The sequence below is a fragment of the Homo sapiens genome, chromosome 1 (genome assembly GCF_000001405.40).
Source record: "Homo sapiens chromosome 1, GRCh38.p14 Primary Assembly".
In the NCBI taxonomy this organism is placed as follows: Eukaryota; Metazoa; Chordata; class Mammalia; order Primates; family Hominidae; genus Homo; species Homo sapiens.
Window position 1 is genome coordinate 43,532,528 of NC_000001.11, and position 20,320 is coordinate 43,552,847.

General features: G+C 54.6%; 1 protein-coding gene across 35 annotated transcripts in view, besides 5 other annotated features; it reads left to right on the top strand.

Moving 5' to 3' along the window:
- Positions 1–20,320, top strand: part of PTPRF (protein tyrosine phosphatase receptor type F) — a 101,616-nt gene that overhangs the window by 10,477 nt on the left and 70,819 nt on the right. For 29 of the 35 annotated variants that reach the window (XM_011541873.3, XM_011541871.4, XM_011541872.4 and 26 more), the window contains 2 exons: positions 5,671–5,750; positions 12,504–12,639. In XM_011541873.3, coding sequence (XP_011540175.1) covers positions 12,549–12,639 — 91 coding nt within the window. In that variant the 5' untranslated portion in view covers positions 5,671–5,750; positions 12,504–12,548. Of the gene's footprint in view, positions 1–5,670; positions 5,751–12,503; positions 12,640–15,230; positions 15,573–20,320 lie in introns of those variants that run through there. The other 6 variants (XM_047426475.1, XM_047426483.1, XM_047426519.1 and 3 more) reach the window with 4 other exon arrangements.
- Positions 403–904: an enhancer, noted in NCBI's record as "H3K4me1 hESC enhancer chr1:43998601-43999102 (GRCh37/hg19 assembly coordinates)". NCBI's record gives its function as "activates a minimal SCP1, AML or CMV promoter by ChIP-STARR-seq in primed H9 embryonic stem cells {active_cell/tissue: H9 hESC(primed)}" and the evidence as "EXISTENCE:reporter gene assay evidence [ECO:0000049][PMID:30033119]".
- Positions 905–1,404: an enhancer, noted in NCBI's record as "H3K4me1 hESC enhancer chr1:43999103-43999602 (GRCh37/hg19 assembly coordinates)". NCBI's record gives its function as "activates a minimal SCP1, AML or CMV promoter by ChIP-STARR-seq in primed H9 embryonic stem cells {active_cell/tissue: H9 hESC(primed)}" and the evidence as "EXISTENCE:reporter gene assay evidence [ECO:0000049][PMID:30033119]".
- Positions 2,351–3,213: an enhancer, noted in NCBI's record as "H3K27ac-H3K4me1 hESC enhancer chr1:44000549-44001411 (GRCh37/hg19 assembly coordinates)". NCBI's record gives its function as "activates a minimal SCP1, AML or CMV promoter by ChIP-STARR-seq in primed H9 embryonic stem cells {active_cell/tissue: H9 hESC(primed)}" and the evidence as "EXISTENCE:reporter gene assay evidence [ECO:0000049][PMID:30033119]".
- Positions 15,964–16,770: an enhancer, noted in NCBI's record as "H3K27ac-H3K4me1 hESC enhancer chr1:44014162-44014968 (GRCh37/hg19 assembly coordinates)". NCBI's record gives its function as "activates a minimal SCP1, AML or CMV promoter by ChIP-STARR-seq in primed H9 embryonic stem cells {active_cell/tissue: H9 hESC(primed)}" and the evidence as "EXISTENCE:reporter gene assay evidence [ECO:0000049][PMID:30033119]".
- Positions 16,771–17,575: an enhancer, noted in NCBI's record as "H3K27ac-H3K4me1 hESC enhancer chr1:44014969-44015773 (GRCh37/hg19 assembly coordinates)". NCBI's record gives its function as "activates a minimal SCP1, AML or CMV promoter by ChIP-STARR-seq in primed H9 embryonic stem cells {active_cell/tissue: H9 hESC(primed)}" and the evidence as "EXISTENCE:reporter gene assay evidence [ECO:0000049][PMID:30033119]".

Below are 20,320 nucleotides of genomic sequence, written 5' to 3' on the forward strand. Positions count from 1 at the left end.
TAGAAAAGGATGTGGGGTGGTGGTTCCAGGCGGGTGCTCATGGGGAGGAATCTGCTGAGAAGGGAAGATCTGGTGGGGAATCCTTTGGGAGGCTTCGGGGATCTGAGGGATCCAGAAGAGAGTTCTGACAGGCTATCTAAGGAAATTTCTGTGCTTAGCTCCTTATTAACTCTTGCTTCAGGGAGCATGAAAATCCCTGTTTTTTTACTGATTATATGAATGAGCCTAGGGCTTCAAGAAGGAGCAGGTGTAACTCCCCAAGTACAACCCCCTACATTCTCAGCCCCAGGCACAGGCCACACTTTCTCGTACCCTCTTGCCTTCATTTCCACACTCAGCTCACCCCCTCCACCCCCACACACACTCCCTATTCAGCTGCTTTCTTGCCCCCTCTCGCATACCTGGGCCCGCATGCCGGCCAGGGCTCAAGAAATCTGTGCCTGCACACTCTCGCAGCATACCTGTGCACATGCACAGTCATCCTTGTGTATTTTTGTATATGCACTTTCTTGCACATTTTACTTGCTCAGTCTCTTATTTGAAATGTCTTTATAGTGTTTTTTTTAGTTTCCTTTATAGTTTCCTTTTCCAGCTGCTCTTCCTCTTCCCTCTTTCTTTCCTTTAACAAGAAAATTGTTTTAACATAATTCCTTCCTTCCTTCCTCCCTTTCTTCCTTCTTCTTGCAACTACTGATACCTCCCCTTTATCCAGCTTTGTGTGCCCTGGGCGGGTTGGCTTGGTGTACAAGGCTGCCAAGAGAGGAGGGGGTGGTTGGGTGTTGGTGAAGGAATTTGGCGGGGCAGAGTTAGACTGCAGCAAACGGAAACTAGCTACACATCTTTTACTGGGAAGTGTATGGATACGCAGCAAAATACTAGCCCTGGCAGTTTGGGCACAGTCCACCCTTTTTTCCATCAGCCTGAACTATGGGAGTCTAGCTTTGAGGGTCCTCCCTGGGGGCGGGGAGGAGGGGACCCAGACCTCCTGCAGTAGAGGGGTTGTGATACACACCACGGCTCCTCCACTTTCCAGCTTCAGGCCTCAAAGAGGCCCCTTTCTCCCTGAGTCTCAATTTCACTCCCTGTAAAATGGGGTAGCTAATCCAACCCGGACTGGGTCCCAGGGCTGTTGTAAGAATCCAAGGGAACTGTGTGGCAGTGCATCGTCAGCAGTGGCAGTCACTTCCCTTGTGACTGACACTGCTGTGTGCTTGGTTCCAGCTTGCAGTCAGGGCCCTACCCTCGAGAAGCTCGTGGTCCTTGGGGGAGCAGGTTGCACCATGGGATTGCAAAAGCAATTCAGTTACCTGTCATTGATTGCTGACTGTGTGCCAGACCCCGGGGTAGGCGCTTTCGGCCCCGGCTGCCTTTCTTCCTTTGGGACTAACAGCTATGTAGAAGAGGCAGCCCACCCCTAAGGTTCAGGCATCTGCTCAACTAAAGCAGCTGCGGTTCTGAGTTGGGTTAGAACATTGCAAGAGTTCATCAAGAGACGGGGGAGAGTTCGGAGGTCAGGGTGAGGTGAGTCCCAGAGGAGACCAAGAAGAAGTGATGTGAACTAGGTTTGGAGGGATGAGTAGGAGTTTGAAGAAGAGAGAAAGGACTTGAGATAGATAAAAACCAGTATGAATAAAGACTGGGAGGTGTTGTCACTTGTGAAGTATTCAGAGATGTGGCAGATCACAGAGGGCATTGAATGCCCTGTTAAGTACCTGTAATTTTACTCTGAGAACCCAGAGAGAAAACACCAAAGGTTTAAAGCTTGGATAGGGAGGGTGGAGTGTGCTGTGGTCAGGTTTATGTTTCCAGAAAATGCTCTGTGGCTATGGGAAAAGGATGGAGACAGGATGCCCAGTGGGGCAAGAGGGTGCAGGTAAGTAAGGTGAGAGAAGATGCTGGCTTTGATAGGTGGTAGCATGGTGCCATCTTGAAGGTACACTTGTCAGGACAGAATGATTTATTGGATGTGGGAGTGAAGGAGAGGAAGAGGAAGGAGTCCAGGTTCCTCGGAGTGGTTGAGCGGGCCTTCACTGAAGGCCCTGAAGCTTCACTGTGTTAGGGACTTGGTGAGGAGGGGCAGAGAATAAGCTCTTAGTTGGACATGTGGCCCTTGAGGTACTTGGGACATTGGAGGCTCAGTGGGGGAGGCACATCAAGGAGGGGCTTTGGTGTGAGGGTATGGGAGAGAAATGTCGGTCGGACCAAGAGAAGCGAGAGCTGTATGAGAGACCATAGAGCTGTGCACCTCGAGAGAAAGTAACCTCCGACAGTGGTGAAGAGCTCGAGTTTTATACTGCTAGGATTGGACTCTGTTTACTAGCAGCGTGACTTTAAGCAAGTGGCTTAACCTCTCTGAATCCGCTTCCTCATTTGTCAAATGATTATAATAAAAACCCGTGCCTTATAAGGGTTGTTATGAGGATTAAAGATAGTATGCATAAAGTGTGTGTAGCACAGGGCTTGGCATCTAGTGAGTACTGTTGTCTGTGTTTGCAGTTACTGTAATCATCCTCAACTGGGATGGTGTAAACCCACCCTCCCATCAGGGGTCACATGAGGTTGCCTTTAATGAGAAGATAGACTGCTAAGGTTAGGGTCCCTGTCTGCCTAAGGTTGCTGCAATTCTGAGCTGAGATTAGCAGGTCAAGGAGCTCAACAAAGGGGGTGCCTGCCCCTATTGTTATCGATGGGATTGTTTGTGTTGCTCAGGTGTTTGACCTTCAGGTGGGTGGGCTTGAGAAGACTAGAGGTGAGGCCTGCAGAAGAGACTCCATGTTTGGGGTAGGTGGAAGGGAATTTTGAGAAGGGGCAGCCTTGGGGTATTGAGTTCTCCATTTCCTCCCACCCTCCCTGGGCCCTGGGCTTCTACTGAGGCTCTTTCTGCCACCATCTGCCTCTGTGGTCCAGATGCACCATGTCTCTGTGTGACCGTGACTTCTAGGTCTGAGAACTCTGGTTTTAGCTCCTTAGCAGTATTTTAGCTGCTGTTTCTGGGGACTGTTCCTGGTGCAGCCACAGGGGCATTCTGGGGGTTGCTCCAGAGGGCAGCTGTGCCTGCATTCCCCTAGGTATCATCGACTTGCTCCTGACCCACTGCCGGGCCAGGTTTCAGGCCTGGCAGATGATGGGGAACCCTACTGGGGCCAGCCCTGCGTTGGCCCCAAGGGCTTTCTTTCTTGATATTGGACATGACTGTGGACTTCACCCCTTCTGAGGCCTTCCTGGGTGCCAAGCAGTGTGATTTCTTTCTTTTTCTCTTTGGTTTGAAACAGAATCTCACTCTGTTGCCCAGGCTGGAGTGTAGTGGTGCAGTCGTGGCTCACTGCAGCCTCCACCTCCTGGGCTCAAGTGATCCTCCCACCTCAGCCTCCTGAGTAACTGAGACTACAGGTGTAGTCCCACCTGGCTAATTTTTGTATTTTTTTAGAGACAGGGTTTTGTCATGTTGTCCAGGCTGCTCTTGAACTCCTGGCTCAAGTGATCCACCTGCCTTGGCCTCCCAAAGTGCCGGGATTACAGGGGTGAGCCACTGTGACTGGCCAGCAGTGTGATTTCTAACTTGGGTCCTGAACCATTCAGGCCCTTTCTGAGTAGCTTTCTAGTCAACCTTCCAGATGTCAGCTCTGGCTCTGTTCTGGGGGTGTATCTGGTTGTCCTGGTTGTTCTGGGCTCTGTCCCAGTGTGAGTGTAGAGTGGGTTCTGGGAGCTGCAGTTGGTGAATCTGAGTCTTTATTTGGTTGCCTGATAGGTTGTTTTGAGGTCAGTTTGATCCCAGACTGACGTGGTTCAAAGTTACTGTTTGGCTTTTCTAGGATCCTGCCCTCATGCTGTTCTGTGTGCCTCAGGGTCTTTGCAAATGTTTAGTCTTCTAAAATGGCCCCTGGCCACTTTGGGTACACACCTCTTTCCAGGTGTGGCTTCTGCTCCATGTAGGGCCTGTCTCAGTCTCCAAGCACGAGACCCTGCTGTGGCTGGGTGTGGCAGCAGCGCCTGGCCAGCTTGGGGGGCCTTTCCCATTACCCAGTTCCCTGCCTTGGACTCTGCCCCTCTGCCCAGGGTCTCTGCACAATGGTGCAGCCAAAAACCTCACTTGAATACTGTGAGGCCCTGCGGGCATCTCTAGACAAATGGGCCTTTAAGTTTGGGGCCTGGAAGCTGGTTTGTCTGGCCAGACCTGCTGGGCAGCCTGTATGCTGGGAGCAGCAGCTGCTGGAAACTCAGCTTGGGGAGCGGGGAGGGAAGCATGCAGAGAGGGCTGCGGGTTCTGGTGCAGGTAGGTGGGGCAGTGGAGGCTGGGTCGCCAAGCTGGCGAGGGCCATCTTGGGTCAGTTGGGATGGCCTTCAGTCGGTGAGAGTACCCCCATATTGGCAGAGGTGGTTAGTGCAACTTGAGGGTAATTCCCAGGTGCAGAGGTGTGTCCTTGATTTCATGATGAGGGTCAGTCTTGGGCCGGTGAGGACATTCCCACGCACCACCCTCCCACTGTGGTTTCTTTGTGTCCGTTATAGGAGGAGCCAAGGTGGCAGAGTGGTGTGGGGTGGGGATCACTGTGCATGTGGGGGCTTGAGGTGAGAAGCCTGCTGCAAGGTGCAGCTTGCGTCGAGTAGGCCAAACAGCTGAGCTTCCGTGAAGTGGTGATGAGGTGGTATGGGTGTGTCTGACCCCCACCCCCACCCAGGATGGTACCCACGCTGGTGGGGACTCAATAATGGCTCTAGAAGGAAGGGGCTGGGCTCTGTCGCTGCATGTGTGCCAGCGGAGGAGGCATCCAGGGGCACGCCTTCATTTTAAAAATTATAGAGTAGAGAAAGTCAAAAATAAATATTGCTTCTGAAGCTTCTTTGAAGACTGGCATGTATGTTGGGGTGTGTTCTTCCAGGCTGGGCTGTTTTCTTTGAACTCATTCATGCGTTCATCCACTCATTCAGTGTATGCTGACTGAGCACCTACTATGTGCCAGCTGTCAGCCAGGCGCTGGGGATACGGAAATGAGCTGGGCAGCCACAGTCCATGCTCCTATCAAGCTTATGGTAGTGACTCAGTAATTGTAAAAATATATAAATAGTCATGTTTGTGGTCACGGCTCCAAGCCAAGGTCCAGGCAGGTAGTCTGGGACATTGTGGAAGGCTTCCCTGAGAAAGTGCCACTGGACTTGAGATCCGAGGGTAAGTTGGCCAGAAGAGCATGGGTAGCCTGTGCCAGGCAGTGGCATTCAGCACTGGCAAGGCTGGGAGACAGGAAGAAATTTGGCACATTTGAGGATCAGAAGAGGAAGTTCCCGTTCTGGCAGGAGGAGAGCATGGGCAGGTAGGGCTGCAGAGGTGGGAGGGGCCGACTCTGCTTGGCTCTGGGGTCATGCTGAGGAGCTGGGCCACAGAGTCTACTGCTGAGGTCAGGGACTTGGTCTGTGTGGCTCACAGCTATATGGCTGGTGCCTGGAAGGACGCCCAGCACATAGTAGGTGCTTAGGGAGTATCAAAATGAATGAGCGAGGGAGTGAAGGGAAAAGATGGGCATTTTTACCAGATGGGGATGGTTCTACATGAACATTTCCATAACCTGCTTTTTTTTCTGCATAAACAGCAAATTTTTAATGTCTTTCTGTGTCAATACATATGCTGTTGTGATGAAATTCTTGATGTTTTCTCATGCTTTCCTTTCTGTCCAGGAAGGAGTGGAGGCCCTGGTGCCCGGCCCTTGGTGCTGAGTATCCAGCAAGAGTGACCGGGGTGAAGAAGCAAAGACTCGGTGAGTGTGCCCCACAGAGTGGCCAGGAGCAGGGGTGCACAGGGGTCCTATGGACCAGGCTGAGCAGCTTGGATTTGATGCAGGGTCAGTGGAGAGCTATAGAGGGGGTGTCAGCAGGGGGCATGACATGATCCAGTGTGCACTGGTGAGAGATTGTGGAGGCCTGGACCAGGGAGGCAGTGACAGAAGTGGAGAGAAGGGATGTGAGTGCTATTTAGGGAGGTAGAGTAGACAGGACGTGGTGAAGGATTGAATGTGGGGCATGAAGGAGGGGAGGTGTCAAGGATGGTGCCTGAGTTTCTGGCTGGAGTGGATGATAGAGGTGGATGGGGAATGACATACAGCTCGTCAGCTACTGTAGGTGTGAAATAGGCTTCCGGGTGATGTCCTGGGACTTACACCAGGATCTTTCTTCTGCTTCTCCATTCGCCACGTTTCTGTAGAAAAGACTGTTCCCATCGACTGTAGGTTGTCGTAGAAAGAGCTTGGTGCCTGCAGGATCTGGGCATGTCCTCTGCATCTCTTTGATGTCCCCTTGTTCTCCTCTCTGTCTGTTAGAAGCACAGAATGGGTGGGCTGGAGTTGCAGGGAATGAGGTTGGTAAGTTGGTTTAGAGTCAGCATCATGGGCCTTGGATGTCAGGCTAAAGACTTTAGACTTTTTCCTGAGGGCAATACAGCAGCATTGAAGGTTCTTAAGCAGAGAAGCAATATCCATGTGTTGATCTGTCCATTGCCCATCCGTTCATTCTTTCACGGAACACTGTCTGAATGCCTGCTGTGAAATAAAGTGGCAAACAAAAGTGCAGATTTGCATTTTTATGTGCTGAAAGGTGGCACTGGTCTGTGTGCGGGATGGGTTGGGAGTGATTGAAGGCAGGAAGCCCACCAAAGAGGCAGGAAGTGATGAGGTCTTACTAACACAGTGGCAGTGAGGATGGAGGCAGGTCAGATTCAAACTTATTGATGGGTTAGATGTGTGGGATGAGGACAAGGGAGCATTTAAGGAGGGTTTGCGGGCTTGGTGACTGACAACATGGTGGTGCTGTCCCCAAGACTGGACACCCTGGAGGAGGAGTGGAATTGGGGCAGATGAGTTCTGGTTGGGCCATCCTGAGCCAAGAGCTCGGTGGGTCTGTTCACCCTCTGTAAGCTCCTCGAAGGCAGAGCCTGTGACTCTCTTGTTCATCACCCTGCCCACTGAACATCTGGACGGGTGGCTGAACTAACAAGGCTGTGGAAGAGATGGGTCTGGCCTGGGTAGGGGAAGGAAATGTGTATGTCCTGGGTGTCTCCTGGGGTCCAGACCCTACGTTTGGTGAGATGGGCACTGGGGTTATGTAGAGGGTGCAGCAAGAGGGGCTGTGTCACAGGCTGGAAAGGTCAGATGGGGAGGGTGGGTGTAGGGACACTATGTGTCCCTTTGCCTCTCCATCCTCAGATGATGGTCTGACCTAACTCGAAGTCCAGTCTTGCCAGAATAGGTACCTGAAGGTGGAGCCCTCTGTCCTCTCGGGAGGCCACTAGCTGATGGCATGTCTGGTGGGGTGCAGATGGGGTGTGCTATAGGACCTGACTTCTGGAGGCTGGGTAGGGCTGATGTGGGGGTACAGGGGAAGATACTCTGAGATCCTGAGGCCAGGCGCCAGCAAATACAGGAGTTAAGCCAGGTTGGAGCTTCCTTGGGTACAAGGCCCAGGGTGCCCACAGGGGATTGGGTTCTGGGGCAGGGGCCAGGTCAGGCTCTAGGCTCAATTGGCAAAGGATCTTGTTGTCTGTGTTGGGGTTTCTCAGCCTCAGCACCATTGACATTTTGGATCAGATAACCCTTATTGTGGGGGCAGGGCTTGTTATTGTAGGGTGTCTAGCAGCATCCCTGGTTTCTTCCCCCTAGATGCCAGTAGCATCTCCCCGCTTTCCCCAGTCTCGACAATCAAAAATGTCTCCAGTCGTTGCGTAATGTCCCATGGGGGCAAAATTACCCTGAATTGAGAACCTCTGGTCTACAGCCTCTTGCTGCTTTCACTATACTGTACAAACCTGGAAAATTGGGGAGGGTCAGTGGGGAAGATGGATAGTGATGGGCCACTTGAGCAGAGTTCTGAGGGGTGAGTGAGTGCTGGGGCAGGAGAAGGACATTTTTTTCCAATAGACAGAACGGCAGGTACAGAGGCTTGGAGGCACAAAGTTGGGAAACAGTAATCCAAGGGGGACCCCAGCCCCAGAGGAAGGGGCCTGGAGGCTTAGGGGTTACAGCCGCAGGAAGATACCTCTGCTGGTCCCCTTTGGTCATTTGCCTCCAGAGTTAGTCTCCTGCTGACCCTTTGCCGCCTCCAAGTCTCTGCGACACTCCTCCTAATCTCCCCCTCCACTCCTCAGTGAGATGGAGAAACTGAGAGCTGCAACAGGGTGGGACTCAGTCCAGCTGGTGGGAGCCCCGATACCAGCCGTGGGAGGGAGGGCTGTTCCTGGCTCTGCTCACGGATTCTGGCCAACTGGCTGGAGGAGGGAAGGCGGCCTCACCCTCTTCCCCACAGGCCCCTCCTTCCCTGGGTCAGGGGTCCTGGCTGAGACTATAATTTATTCCCGTCATAATCCAGTGGTTGGTTTGGTGAGAGCTGGAAACATGTTGGTTTTCCCTTCCCAAGTATAACAAGGCCTGTTTCCGCCTCCGCGGCCGCTGCTGCAGTGCCACGCGGTGAACTGTCCAGGACATGACAAAAGGGCTCGGTTAGCTGCCCGCTGGTTAGAAGATGAACGGCTCAGAGCTCTCCCTGCCGACAGGCTCTTCCCTTCCTGTTGCCCAAGTGCTGGCCTTTCCTCTTGGCCGTCTGCTCTGTAGGGCCCTGGATACCCCTCCTTCTGCTCATGTCCATTTCTGGGCCCCAGGGTCCTGGCCTGGGGAGGTGAGATGGGGGAGGCTACAGAAACAGGTGGTATTTGGAGACTAATTAATATTTGTGAATAATAATGCATGCCCAAGGAAAACAAATCAATCTGTGTTTGCGTATTTATGATGAGGACTCAGGAATGATCCCAGCTGTTCTCCAGCCAGGGAAGCCCCCATCACATGGTCCCTTGGGCCCCCACAGAGGCTGGCAGGGTGGTTAGGGTGGGCTGCATGGAGGTGACATGGCTTCTGTGTTTTGCAACGTGAATCTTCTGTGACGTTCATATGCGAATGCTGTGGCTTGGTCTAGTGCCTGCTTCTTCCTTTTCCCTCAAAGCAGTGATTCCCAGGCTCTTTGGTTTCACGAACCAATACAATTTCCAAAAGTACTCAAGAGCCAGACATGGGGTTGGCAATTTTTTATTTTGCCAAGTAAAGGCATTATAAAAAAACAACTGCTATCTGCTGTCCCCATCATTTCATACAGGAAAGAACATTTTAACACCAAGGACAATATTTGAGAATAAAGGACAGTTCTTCCCAAGAAAGGGCAGTTGGCAGCTTTACACTGACGTAGCAAAGGAAAAGGATATATTAAAACCATTCTGAATGTGGAAAAATTGTGTCCAATTATATTCTATAATATCATACCGTATGTAATTGTGTTCCTGCCCAAGTATGTCAGCTTGGCAGAACGGATGGTCCACAGTGCAATTCAGAGACGAGCTTGAGTGCCCCAGTGCTCCGGCCTTGTTTTTATCTCGGTTGTTGAAAGCCCAGGCTCACCCAGCCATGCTGGTGAAGTGGGTGTTCTGCTGTGAACACCGTTGCATGGATTCACAAGATGCTCAACCTCGCAACCGCAGTCAGGCTAGCAGCAGCCCTGCCCCTTGTTCCTCTCCCACCTTCTCCCCACAGGTGACCCTGGGACCCTGGGACTCTGGGGGCCAAGGTCTACTCTTGAGGCCAGGCCTGGGGATCCAGGGCTGCTCTGCTCTGATGAGGGAGGCCCTGGAGCTGGGAGTGGCCTGAACCGCCTGACACCAGGGCAGGCTCTGTGCCCGGAGTCTCAGGGCGGGAGGCAGCTTGCTCTCGCCAGGAGCTGGTGAGGGAGAGGCCCTGGCTCGTACAGCTGTGTGGCTGCCAGAGTAGTTGCCTGAGAATGTGTTTGTGTGTGTCCCTTGTGTTTCCCCATCTCCCTGGGCATCTGTGTCCTTGTGTCCATCATGGACCACTGGAAGAAGCTCTCTGTTCTACTTTCTGGATCTGAACAAAGTGTCCTGAGCACCCCAACCCAGATACACAGGGGGTTTCTGGAGGCCCCACGTTGGGGGTAGGGTTACCTGAGGCCCAAGTTCTCCAACACCCATGGCCAGACTCTCATCCAGGCTTGTACCACATGGGTGTCTATTCTGGGAGTTTTACCCCCATGATGGCTCTCCTGGGAGCTCTGCCCCCACCATGAAGTCTGTAACAGCACGTTACACCTCTGCTAATGTATGGGGAGTTGCACCCCTGTAATGTCCTTATCAGGCAGCTGCACTCCATGATGTCTGTACCCTCTGTGTCCGCCCACGTGATGTCTAGACCACACCATTACACCTCCATGATGTCTGCACCTGGGCGTTATACTGCTATGATTACTGCACCAAGGCGGCTACAGGGGATTAAGCCTCTGCTCATTGTACTGGGGAGCTATATCCCATGATGACGGTGCTGTGCATTTTATTTTCATAGCAGGGAGATATGCTCATGCTGGGGGCCTATGTCCCTATGAAGCCTGCCTGGCAGGGGTTGCATGCTTGGAATGCTTGTTCCTGGAAGTTAACCTCTGTGACTATTATATTGTTATACCCGATGATGCCGGTACGAGGCCACTGTGCCCTGTCCTTTGGTGCAACACAGCTGTTGAGTTATAAACTCATGTGTCTCATTCAGGGGCTCCAGGATGGTCCATCAGGGGACCATACCCCCATGATGACCTGGCCTGGCATAGGATACCAGATGTGTCCACAGGCCCAGGGAGGAAGAGCCACTCATAGTCCACCACCTGATGGCCGCTGGGAAGGTGCTCCATCGTTGGCTGCATGTGGCACCATAGCGCAAGCTCAGGCAGGGCCTTGGTGATGTGTGACCTCCATCCCACTGTGGCCTTGCAGGCGTCATTGTGGTCTCAGCCACCTCAGCTCTGGGATCGTGGAGCAGATCCATCCCCAGCTTGGTGTAAATGGGGCTGGACACCTATCAACGTTCTTACTTGAAGAACTGGTGTAAATGAAGGCTGGACACCCTTCACCGTTCTTACTTTGTTGTTCAGCTCCTGTCTCAGATTTTTGGTGGGATCCTGGGACAGGGGACAACTCTCACCCCTTTTCCTTTGTGTTTGGCCCCATCCCACTTTGCATTCCCACCTGCTTTGTCCAACACCTTTGCTCAACTGCTGCCTTCTGACCTCATGAACTTTGATTATCTCAGTTGAGACAAGGGTTCAAATTTCAGAAACGACTGGAGCACCTTTGAGCCCTGCCCATTCCTGGTCACCTGCCCTGTCACCTTGCAAATTCTCTTACTATTGTGGGTCAGCGGGGACCTGGGTCTGATCACAACTCCCCTATCAAAGTCCATGCGTATCACTGTGGGGCCCCAAGGCGTGTTCACCGTCATGCACTCTGCTCTGTTGCGTCTTCACAGCATTCATGAGGGATCGACCACGTCTCACCCCTCTGCCCAGAGCATGGTGTGATCAGAGCTTGTGGGCCCTTCCATACATCCCCTGGTGCCCCCCAGGTGAGGGGTATGGGAGAGAGACCCTGGGGAGCTCACCAGTGGGGCCAGGGAGTGATAGCAGCGTATCTCCCATGTATAGTGCGGCCATGCTAGAGGCTTCACCCAGGTGCCTGCAGGCACTTCAGGCCAGGAGCCTTGGAAGTAAAGGCCTAGGGGCATTCAGCCAGTCCCAGACGCTACTCAGTCTTTTTGTGCATAGCTTCCTGTCTCAAACATCAGCCCCTGAGGTTCACACCCCATCATCCCTACACTTGTTTGGCTCCGGGCTTCTGGGGCAAGGGCAGAAGAGATGTGAGGTTTGAATTCTAGGGTCTAACACCCCATTCCTGGCCACTGAGGCCTCCCTGTGGTTTCTCTGTGAAGTAGGAAGGTGCCATGGGAATGGGTAGGACGAGGGTGGCCAGGCAGGGCAGCAGCAGCTTGTCAAGAGCACGTCCTGGTGAGCACTGAGGGGTTGTGGCTTTGGCTGGAAGCCTCTGATACCTGGAGCCTGTCTTCTGCTAACAAGCCTGTGTTCAGGGGCCTGTGCTCAGCGTGCTCGTGGAGTCTGGCCTCCCACCTTCTCCCTCCCTGCTGGGGAGAGGAGGGGCAACAGAATTCTACCAGGGAGACTCCAGAGTCAGTTGGCTTTGCCCCTCACTGCTCCTTGTCACTGTCTTGTCTCTCTGTCCTCTGTCCCACGTAAGCGTCTCTCTGACCCTGTTTCCCTGTCCTCTTATGGGGGTGAGTTAGAAGCTCAAGGTTTGGACTGGAACACACTGTACATCCTCTGGTCTCACTCACTCCCTGTACCTCCTACTCAGGTTTAGAGAATGGCCCGAAGGCCTCCTGCGCTCTTTCTCCCTCCACCGTGACTGTTGGGCTGTCCTTGTGGGTGCTGGGGAATAAGTGAGGAGCTTGGGTGGTCACTGGGGTCAGAAGGTCTAGGTGGTCATTGCACAGCCCAAGTGGGGGGCTCTGTTGAACTAGGCTCTGGATGGTCAGTGAGGATGACTGGGGGTCAGAAAGCGTCAGGGGTGGGCATTAGGGACAGCAGTAAATACCAGCTAACTGGCTCTGCCCTTCTCTCCATTACAGGTTGATTGTCCTGGGCTGTGGCTGGCTGTGGAGCTAGAGCCCTGGATGGCCCCTGAGCCAGCCCCAGGGAGGACGATGGTGCCCCTTGTGCCTGCACTGGTGATGCTTGGTTTGGTGGCAGGCGCCCATGGTGACAGTAAGTCTGACCCCTCAAGGTACAGATCTCCCAGGTTGAAAGGTGGCATCCTTCCCAGCAGGACTCTGGGATGGGGACAGACCGGCTACTAGGAGAGACAGGGTGGCCAGAAACCCTTTAGACCTTCTGTCCTAGAGAGCCCCCACTGCTTGGAGAGCCTCCTTCTAAGGAATACCTGGGTACTTAGGAGCATCTTTAGGCACCAGAGCGGGGCAGTCGAATCGTGACCCTGTCTTATGGGGCTGGGGTGAGACCTGTCCTGGATTCATGTGGTCATTGTGTGATGTGCGCGTGTGTGTGCTGTGTGCACTGTTGCAGATCTGTGCTGAAGGCACAGTGTGAGCTACAGCCAGGGGTCGGCATGGGAATGGGGGGTGGCACGCAGGGCATGCGTATGGATGTGTGCCCAGGACGCGGGTGTGTCCATAGGCCCAAGGAGGGTCAAAAGCGGGAGCCACCCATAGCTCTTCCCCTACGCTGGACCCTCAGGATCCAAGTATGCAGATCTGAGCCCCTCCTTCTCCTTTCATGGGGACCTTCTAGGCAAAGGAGCATCCCCCCACCCCAGCTCCTCAGACCTGGAAATGGGGGGAAGATTGTGTTTGGCCGGCAGGAAGCTGAGCAACGCCCCTCTGTGTGTGTTTGTGTTGGAGGGAGGTGGAATTGTCCCCATCCAGATCCAACTCCGAACTTTGGTCCCTTTCCTGCTGCCCTTCCCCCTGCCTGGCACTATGAGACTGGCCTCAGCCCGCCCCATCGCCATGGTTACCACTCCTTGGTTACTGGTGGGAGGCGGGGCACAGGGCAGATTTAGCCAATCTGCAGGCTGAGGGGGAGGGGCGAGGTCGGAGCCAAGGTCCCTGGGGGAAGGGGCCGTTCCCAGCCTGTCCAGAGCCCAGGGGTGATCCAGGGCCAACCCTGGGGTCAGCCCACGGGTCACCAGGCCATAGGGCTCCCCCACCTGCCTCCGTATCTCTGGGTACAGATCTCTCCCCTTGCCCCACCAGGGCTCTTTCTCCTAATGGCTCATTAATTATTCAGGAACTGATTCTGGAGTGGGGTGGGACTGGTGTGGTCCCGCCCTTTGTCCTCAAGTGCTGGGTCCTGGGTGGAGCTAGAAGGGAAAGGAGAAGGGGCAGGCATTCCCAAGGGGTGGGGCAAAGGGTCATGGGAGCACCAGGTACCAAAGAGAGGGCTGGGCAGGTGAGAGCAAGGAAAAAAGACAGGTGGGGAATCACATGGGGAAGTGGGGCAGGGGATCTCCAGGCCTGGCTGGAACCTGCAGGGGCAGGTTGGAGTAGAAAGCCTTATCAGGTGTGACCCACATGGTTGGCAGGAAGGTGAAGGCTTGTCCACGTGTGGTCAGTAGCTCTTGGACATTGAAGTACTGTCCTTGCCCTCCCCGCCGACCCAACCCCAGGCACTTTCAGGGCCTTCAGACAGGAGCTCTAGGGCAGGGGAAGGATGGCCCAGTTGGGCTTCAACAGATAACACATCCTGGGAGAAGAGCTGCCCTCCTCCTCCTGCCTCAGACCCAACGCGCCCCAACCTGTACCCCTCACTCTCATCCCCCAGCCTGCTGTCTTCCCGTGTTCTCTCCCGTGAAAGGCATTACCACCCACCCGGTCACCCAAGTCAGAACCTGGGCCTCCTCCAGCCTCCTCCCTCCGTGATATCCCACATCTAATCCATCACCAAGCTCCGTTGCTTCTACCTTCTGAATATCTTTGGAATGCATCCACTTCTCTCTCTACCGCCTTCATCCAAGCCACCCTCGGCTCTTGGGCTTTTGCACGCAACAGCCTCCTGACGGTTTCCCTGCCTCCAGTCTTTTCCTTCCTAATCCATTCTGCATTCCAAAGGTAGAGTCGTGTCACAAGGTGAAAACATCATCCTGTCACTCTTCAGTTTAGAATCCTTCATTCCCTCCCACCCCCAGGCCCCCAGGGTCGTAACCCTTCTATAGGCCCTGCATTATCAAGCTTCTATCAACCTCATCCCTCGCTGTCCCTCCACCCACCCCACTCACCCACCACGCTGACTTCTTTCAGTGGTTCACCAATTCCCAGTAGTAATTGGTAGGGGCAAGGGGGAACAGTTTTTAAAGCAGAGAACCTCCATGCTGGTTCCTTAGGAACCAAAGCCCAAACACCAGGTCTTGACGGTAGAAAGCAGCTGAAGAAGCTGAAATCCTGCCTTCTTCAGGTAGGGGGTTCAGGGGACTCAGGCCTTCTCCCAGGCAGAGAGCCATGGGGCAGGAGCCTGGGCTGGGGGTCAGAGTGACCGAGCCGCAGGAGCCAGGGTCTGTCTTCCAGGCCTGTCTTACACTGCACACAGTTTTGGATCTCTCCCTGCACTGAGGCAGGGCTCAGGCTGAGCTTGGGCAACTACTAGCCAGGGGCAAGTGGCCATACACAGACAGGGCCACTGCAGAAGATAGGGTAGGCACCCCAGAGAATTGACAGCTGGGGCAGTGAAGCGCGGAGTGGACAAATGTGTTTCAATAGGCCTCTTAACGAGACAAATGAATGGGGGCCCTGGCCTCTGAGGGGAGTGGAGGGAAGCGGGTGGAGAAGCAGCTGCCAAGAGTTAGCCCAGAGGCCCCAGTGTCAGTGCCGCACGCGCAGCTCCAGTGGAGATTTGGGCACACATTGGGGTAGGATCTGCTGCAGCGCAGCTTCCCCAGCCAGGCTTTGTGGCTTCTCAGGAGGGGAGGTTGTGGGGCCAGAGGTGTCCTGAGCCAGGGCAGAGGTTTTTGCTGATCTCAAGTGCGTGTCGCGTGCCTGTCTTCAGGCAAGACCTGCAGTGTGGAGGCACAGGCTTGTGAGCAGTGACCACAGGGTGTGCTGGGTAGGTGGCACTGACACAGGCCATGGCAGAAGCATCTTGGGAGAGGAGTTGGGAGGCTTCCTGGAAGAGGGGAGCCCTGAAGGGTGAGTGGACATTTGCTAATGGGGGGGTATTGCATAATGAGGTGGGGTTGCGGGGAAGAAGCACGAATGTGGCTGGGCTTCTCTGTGGAATTCATGGGAGAGCCACAGTGAGAACCCGACAGCATGGGACAGAGGTGGGGTCCGAAGACCAGGTGGGAGTGAGACCCTGGTTATGGCCCATTTACCCAGAATCCTAGGAGCTCAGAGCAGGATGCGTGCTGGCTGGAGGGGTGGGTGGCGGGTGGGTTGACAGAGGTGGGCAGAGGCTGAGGAGCTGGGAGTGTGTCTGTTGTGTCATTTCCCTCCTCCCCAGAGCCTGTGGAGCACACAGGGTCTGTTGTCTGTCGTCATGCTCTCCCCCTCGTTCTATGGGTGGCCTGTCTAGACTCTGCTCCCTGTGGGACTTCCCGCAGATTCCGTTGCTTTCTCTCTCTGGGCCTGTTTTCCTATTGCACAATGGGGATAATCACTCCTACCTGGAAAGGTTAACTGAGGTCACATGGATGAGGTGCCTGGAACCTAGTATGTATTCCCCTTATCTGAGGCCATGACCTGGGGCTCTTGCTCTGTCCCTGGGAACCAGGCTTGTCTCTGAGTGGGCTCCAGGGGGGTACCAGGAACAGTCACAGGAGCTCACTGAGTCCCAGCTTAAGCTGCTCAGACCCAGGGATATCTGTCTCTCCAGAAGCTCCCTGCCCTGCCTTCGCCGGCCCTCATGGCCCTGCCTCCGTGTGTACATGTGTATGTGTATTCCATGGGAAAGGCACAAAATAGCAGTCAGTCTCTCCATAGAAGAGCCTTGATGGTGGCCCAGTTTGACTCTCCCTGGGGCTGGACCCCTACAGCCTCCCTGGGAGGTGGTTGCAGCCCCCTTCCTCCAGCCAGTTCCACTTACTCCTTTCTTAGGCCACTTCCTCCCACCCTGCATGGGCTTGGTGGCTCGAGAATGTTGCCGTCCATACCCCGGGAGCTGTGCTGAAAGGGCTGTGCGGCCCCCGACCACTGTGTGTGTCAGGGAGGGGGCACGCTCTCGTGGGGTGTCAGGCCAGGTGGCAGTGGGTAACTGGCAGAAAGGCCCTCCTGGTGTGCTCTGGTGGCACCCTGTTGACCCAGTCTCAGAAGTTGTGTTCCGACCCTCACTGAACACCAGCTGTGGGTCAGGCACGGGGCAGAGTAGTTCAAGTAGCTTGGTTTGCTGCCTGCCTGGGGACCTGACACTGTGGGATCTGGTCAGTGCTGGGATGGGAAGCTCTGGGCACCTCAGGCCATGGGACACAGAGCAGGCTCCTACAGCAGCTTGGCTGGGTGGGACATGAGAGAGGGGCTGGGCTGGGCACACTCAAAGGCAGGGAGGAGTCTGAGGGCCTGGCCTGTCAGGGTGGCCTAGGTGGTGGGTCCAAGCTGTGTGCTCTGCACAGTGCTAGGCCTGTACTATAGTAGGTGCTCAAAAAATACTTGTTGAAAGAGTAAAGAAGCCGGGTGTGGTGGCTCATACCCGTAATCCCAACACTTTGGGAGGCCAAGGCAGGTGGATCGCCAGAGCTCAGGAGTTTGAGACCAGCCTGGCAATGTGGTGAAACCCTGTCTTTACCAAAAATACAAAAAATTAGCCAGGCATGGTGGTGTGCACCTGTGGTCCCAGCTACTCGGGAGGCTGAGGTGGGAGGATTGCTTGAGCCTAGGAGGTGGAGGCGGAGGTTACAGTGAGCTGAGATTGTGCCACTTGTACTCCAACCTGGGTGACAAAGTGAGACCCCCCTCTCAAAAAAAAAAAAGACTAAAGAAAAGTGAGCCTGAGAGCTTAGGAGGAGCACATTTCAGAGGGGAACGGAGAGAGGAACATCAGGCCCGTTGGTAGCTGAGGAGAGGTGCGGTTAGATCTGTGCTCCCCAAAGATCCTCTGCTGAACATAAGGGGCAACGCCTTGTCTCCTGTGCTGTGTCCTGCGGGTGGAGGTGGATTGGAGGGAAGCGGAGGGCGAGGCCTGGTTGAGGGGCGGGGCCTGCCTGTCTGGTCCCCCGGGCTGCCTTGGGCCAGCTTGGCCTAGTCTGTTGGGTGGGCGGGCAGGGTGCAGGCTCCTCTCCAGCCTCCAAGGGAGGGGAGTTGTTCTGCCTCCTCGATAGCCCCAGGCCTTGGGCACAGCCCAGCCTCCCACGGCTCTTGGGCCCTCCTCCTTCCAGGCCGCCGGTGACCCACACCTGGCTCTCCTCCCCGGCGTCTCCTCTCCGCTTCTTTGTTTGGAGCGGAGGCCCCGCCCCACCCCGCCCCCAGGCGCACTCGCCCGGCCATTCCGGTTCAGCCGGTTCCAGCCCCCAGTTTCTGCCGCTGCAGGTCCCGGCAGGAGCTGGAGGGGCACTTTCTCCCTGGGTTTCTCTTCCCTGGTGCAGCAGGGGCCGCGGTCCTCATCCTCCTGGTTCCTCAGTTCGGTCCTTCTTTCATTCTCCACCCCTGGGTGCCAGGAACTGGGTCAGACACTGGGACAGGAATCCAGACAGGCATGCTATCTGCCCTGCCCAGGGTTATGTTCTAGGAGGGGAAGCAGCCATTAATCAAACACCAAAAATGTGGAAAAGTAATAATCTCACACGTGTGCATAATAAACTGTGAGTGAAAGTTATAAGCTCGGCAGGTAGGTAATAAGCTAGGAGCAGTGCTGTGGGAGGCAAGGGAGTTACCCGGGAGTTTCAAACTAGGAACTGAGCTCATAGGTTGGGGGCAGGGGGACTGGAGAAGGCAGTGATACTTAAATGGAGAGCAGAAGGATGAATGGAAGTTAGAGTGTATGGCGGAGGTTGGCAGAAGCAGCAGCTTATGCAAAGGCCCTGTGGCTGCAGGGAACATGACGTTGCTCTTTAGAGGAGCCAAAGCTGGGGCTCTGGGGAGAGCAGCTGGGTCAGACCCCGCGGCTTTGTCTGCCATAACAGGTGTTTGGAGAGTGATTCGGCAGGTCTTTGGAGGGTTTTGATAGGGCGGGGTGTCGGGGGAGGCTGTCAGCTCACTCTGGACACTGAGTAGAGAACAGACGGGAGGCGTGGGGCAGGCCTGGAGGCAGGGGCTTCCGCGTGTTAGGCCAGTGGAGTGCCAGTCAAGGGAAGGTGGTATCTGGACTAGGGTGTGGCAGCGCAGGTGGAGAACCCTGAGCTGCTTTGTGGAGGGCTTCAAGTGTGGGGGAAGAGTGCACGGTATGGGGGTGGGGGACAGGAGACACCCCCAGTGGAGCCTGAGCAGGAGAGTCGTGTCTGAGAGGGTCTGTCTGGAAGGCGCAACAGAGGCCAACTTTGCAGACAGCTGCAGTCGGGAGAGCCTGGAGCCTCCTTCAAAGGGCATTCAGGGGAAGGGCAAGGCACGCTGGGGGGTTCTGGACCTTCTGTGGTGTCTTCTTGTCTTTCTGGTCCCTACAGCCTCCCTGAGCTGGCTGCCCGAGCCTGCCCTAGGCACTCTAAGAACATAGTCAGTCCCAAGGTCTCCCTCCAGGGAAGGCCGTAGGTGAGCTTAGGAGTGAGAAGGCTGGATCAAAGCCTGGCTCCATGCCTGCATCCCTCTGACTTGCCAGTCATTTCACCCTCCGAGCCTCTATTTCCCCACCTCTTAAATGGGGATAATAATACTACCTACCTTATGGGATTGCGGTAAGACTGATAATGCTGGTACGAGTGACAGCTTCCCTCATGGAAGGCCCACCACGTAAAGCAGTTTACAGCCATCTCATTCCATCTATGACAGAATCCTGTGTCACTGTTTTGGAGATGGGAAAAAAGAGGCTCAGAGATGGTGAGTGACTTGCATAATAATTACATAAAACCCCCAGAGCCCCTGGCCCCTGGAGTTCTCAAAAGTTCCTTCTCTGTTGGTACCTGCAGCTGCCACTCCCTACCCCGCTCCCATAGACCCTCTCCTCCTTGGAGACTCTGCCCCATCTGCCGTCCCTTCTCTGCTGGATCAACACCTTTTCCCTCTCTGCTGGCTCCCATCAGTATTTAAACATTGCCTTTCATATCTGTCTTCAAGAAAAAAAGAAAAAAAAAATTCACAAACCTCCCTTCCCGCCTCATCCTTTCCAGCTGCTGGCTGTATAGTCACCTGTACTTCCCTCTCTCCCTCATCGCCTCCCAGTCATTCTTTGGCCTTCTTTGGTCTGGCTTTGGCCCCCACCCACCACTCCACTGACTCTGTTCTTGTCAAGGTCCCTGACAATCTTGTGTGAACTGTTTTGTACCAGGTGTTTGACAGTCAAACATGCCTGAATTCAGGTCCCAGATGTGCCCCTCACTGGCATGTGATCTTGGACAAGTGACTTGACCCCTCTGAGCCTGTAAACTGAGGATAATAGCAATGAAGGACTAAAGATAAAGAACCTGGTGCAGAGTGGGTGCTTGGCAAAGGATTGTCATCATCGCACACGTTTCTGTGCCAGGGACCAGGCTGGGCCTGGGCTCCTGGGGACCAAACAGGTGGTCTGAAAGGTCATTTCTCACAGCACTAGCCCTTTTTGGAGCTGTTCATTGGTCTGATTAATAGGAAATGGATCAGCTGTCAAGATTAACGAGCTATTGCTACAAGATTGTAGCAAATGGGTTGGGCTTCTCTGGGTTCATGACCCTAGGTGGTTGAATTCTTAGGGATAGGGGCTGTGGACTGGCCCTGGTATGTGTACTGAGGTGATGAGGGTGTGGCAGTGCCATGTCTGAGCCCCTACCTTTCTTCTCCTCCCTCTGCCTCCCTGTGGACACCTTGAGGAGACTGTCAGA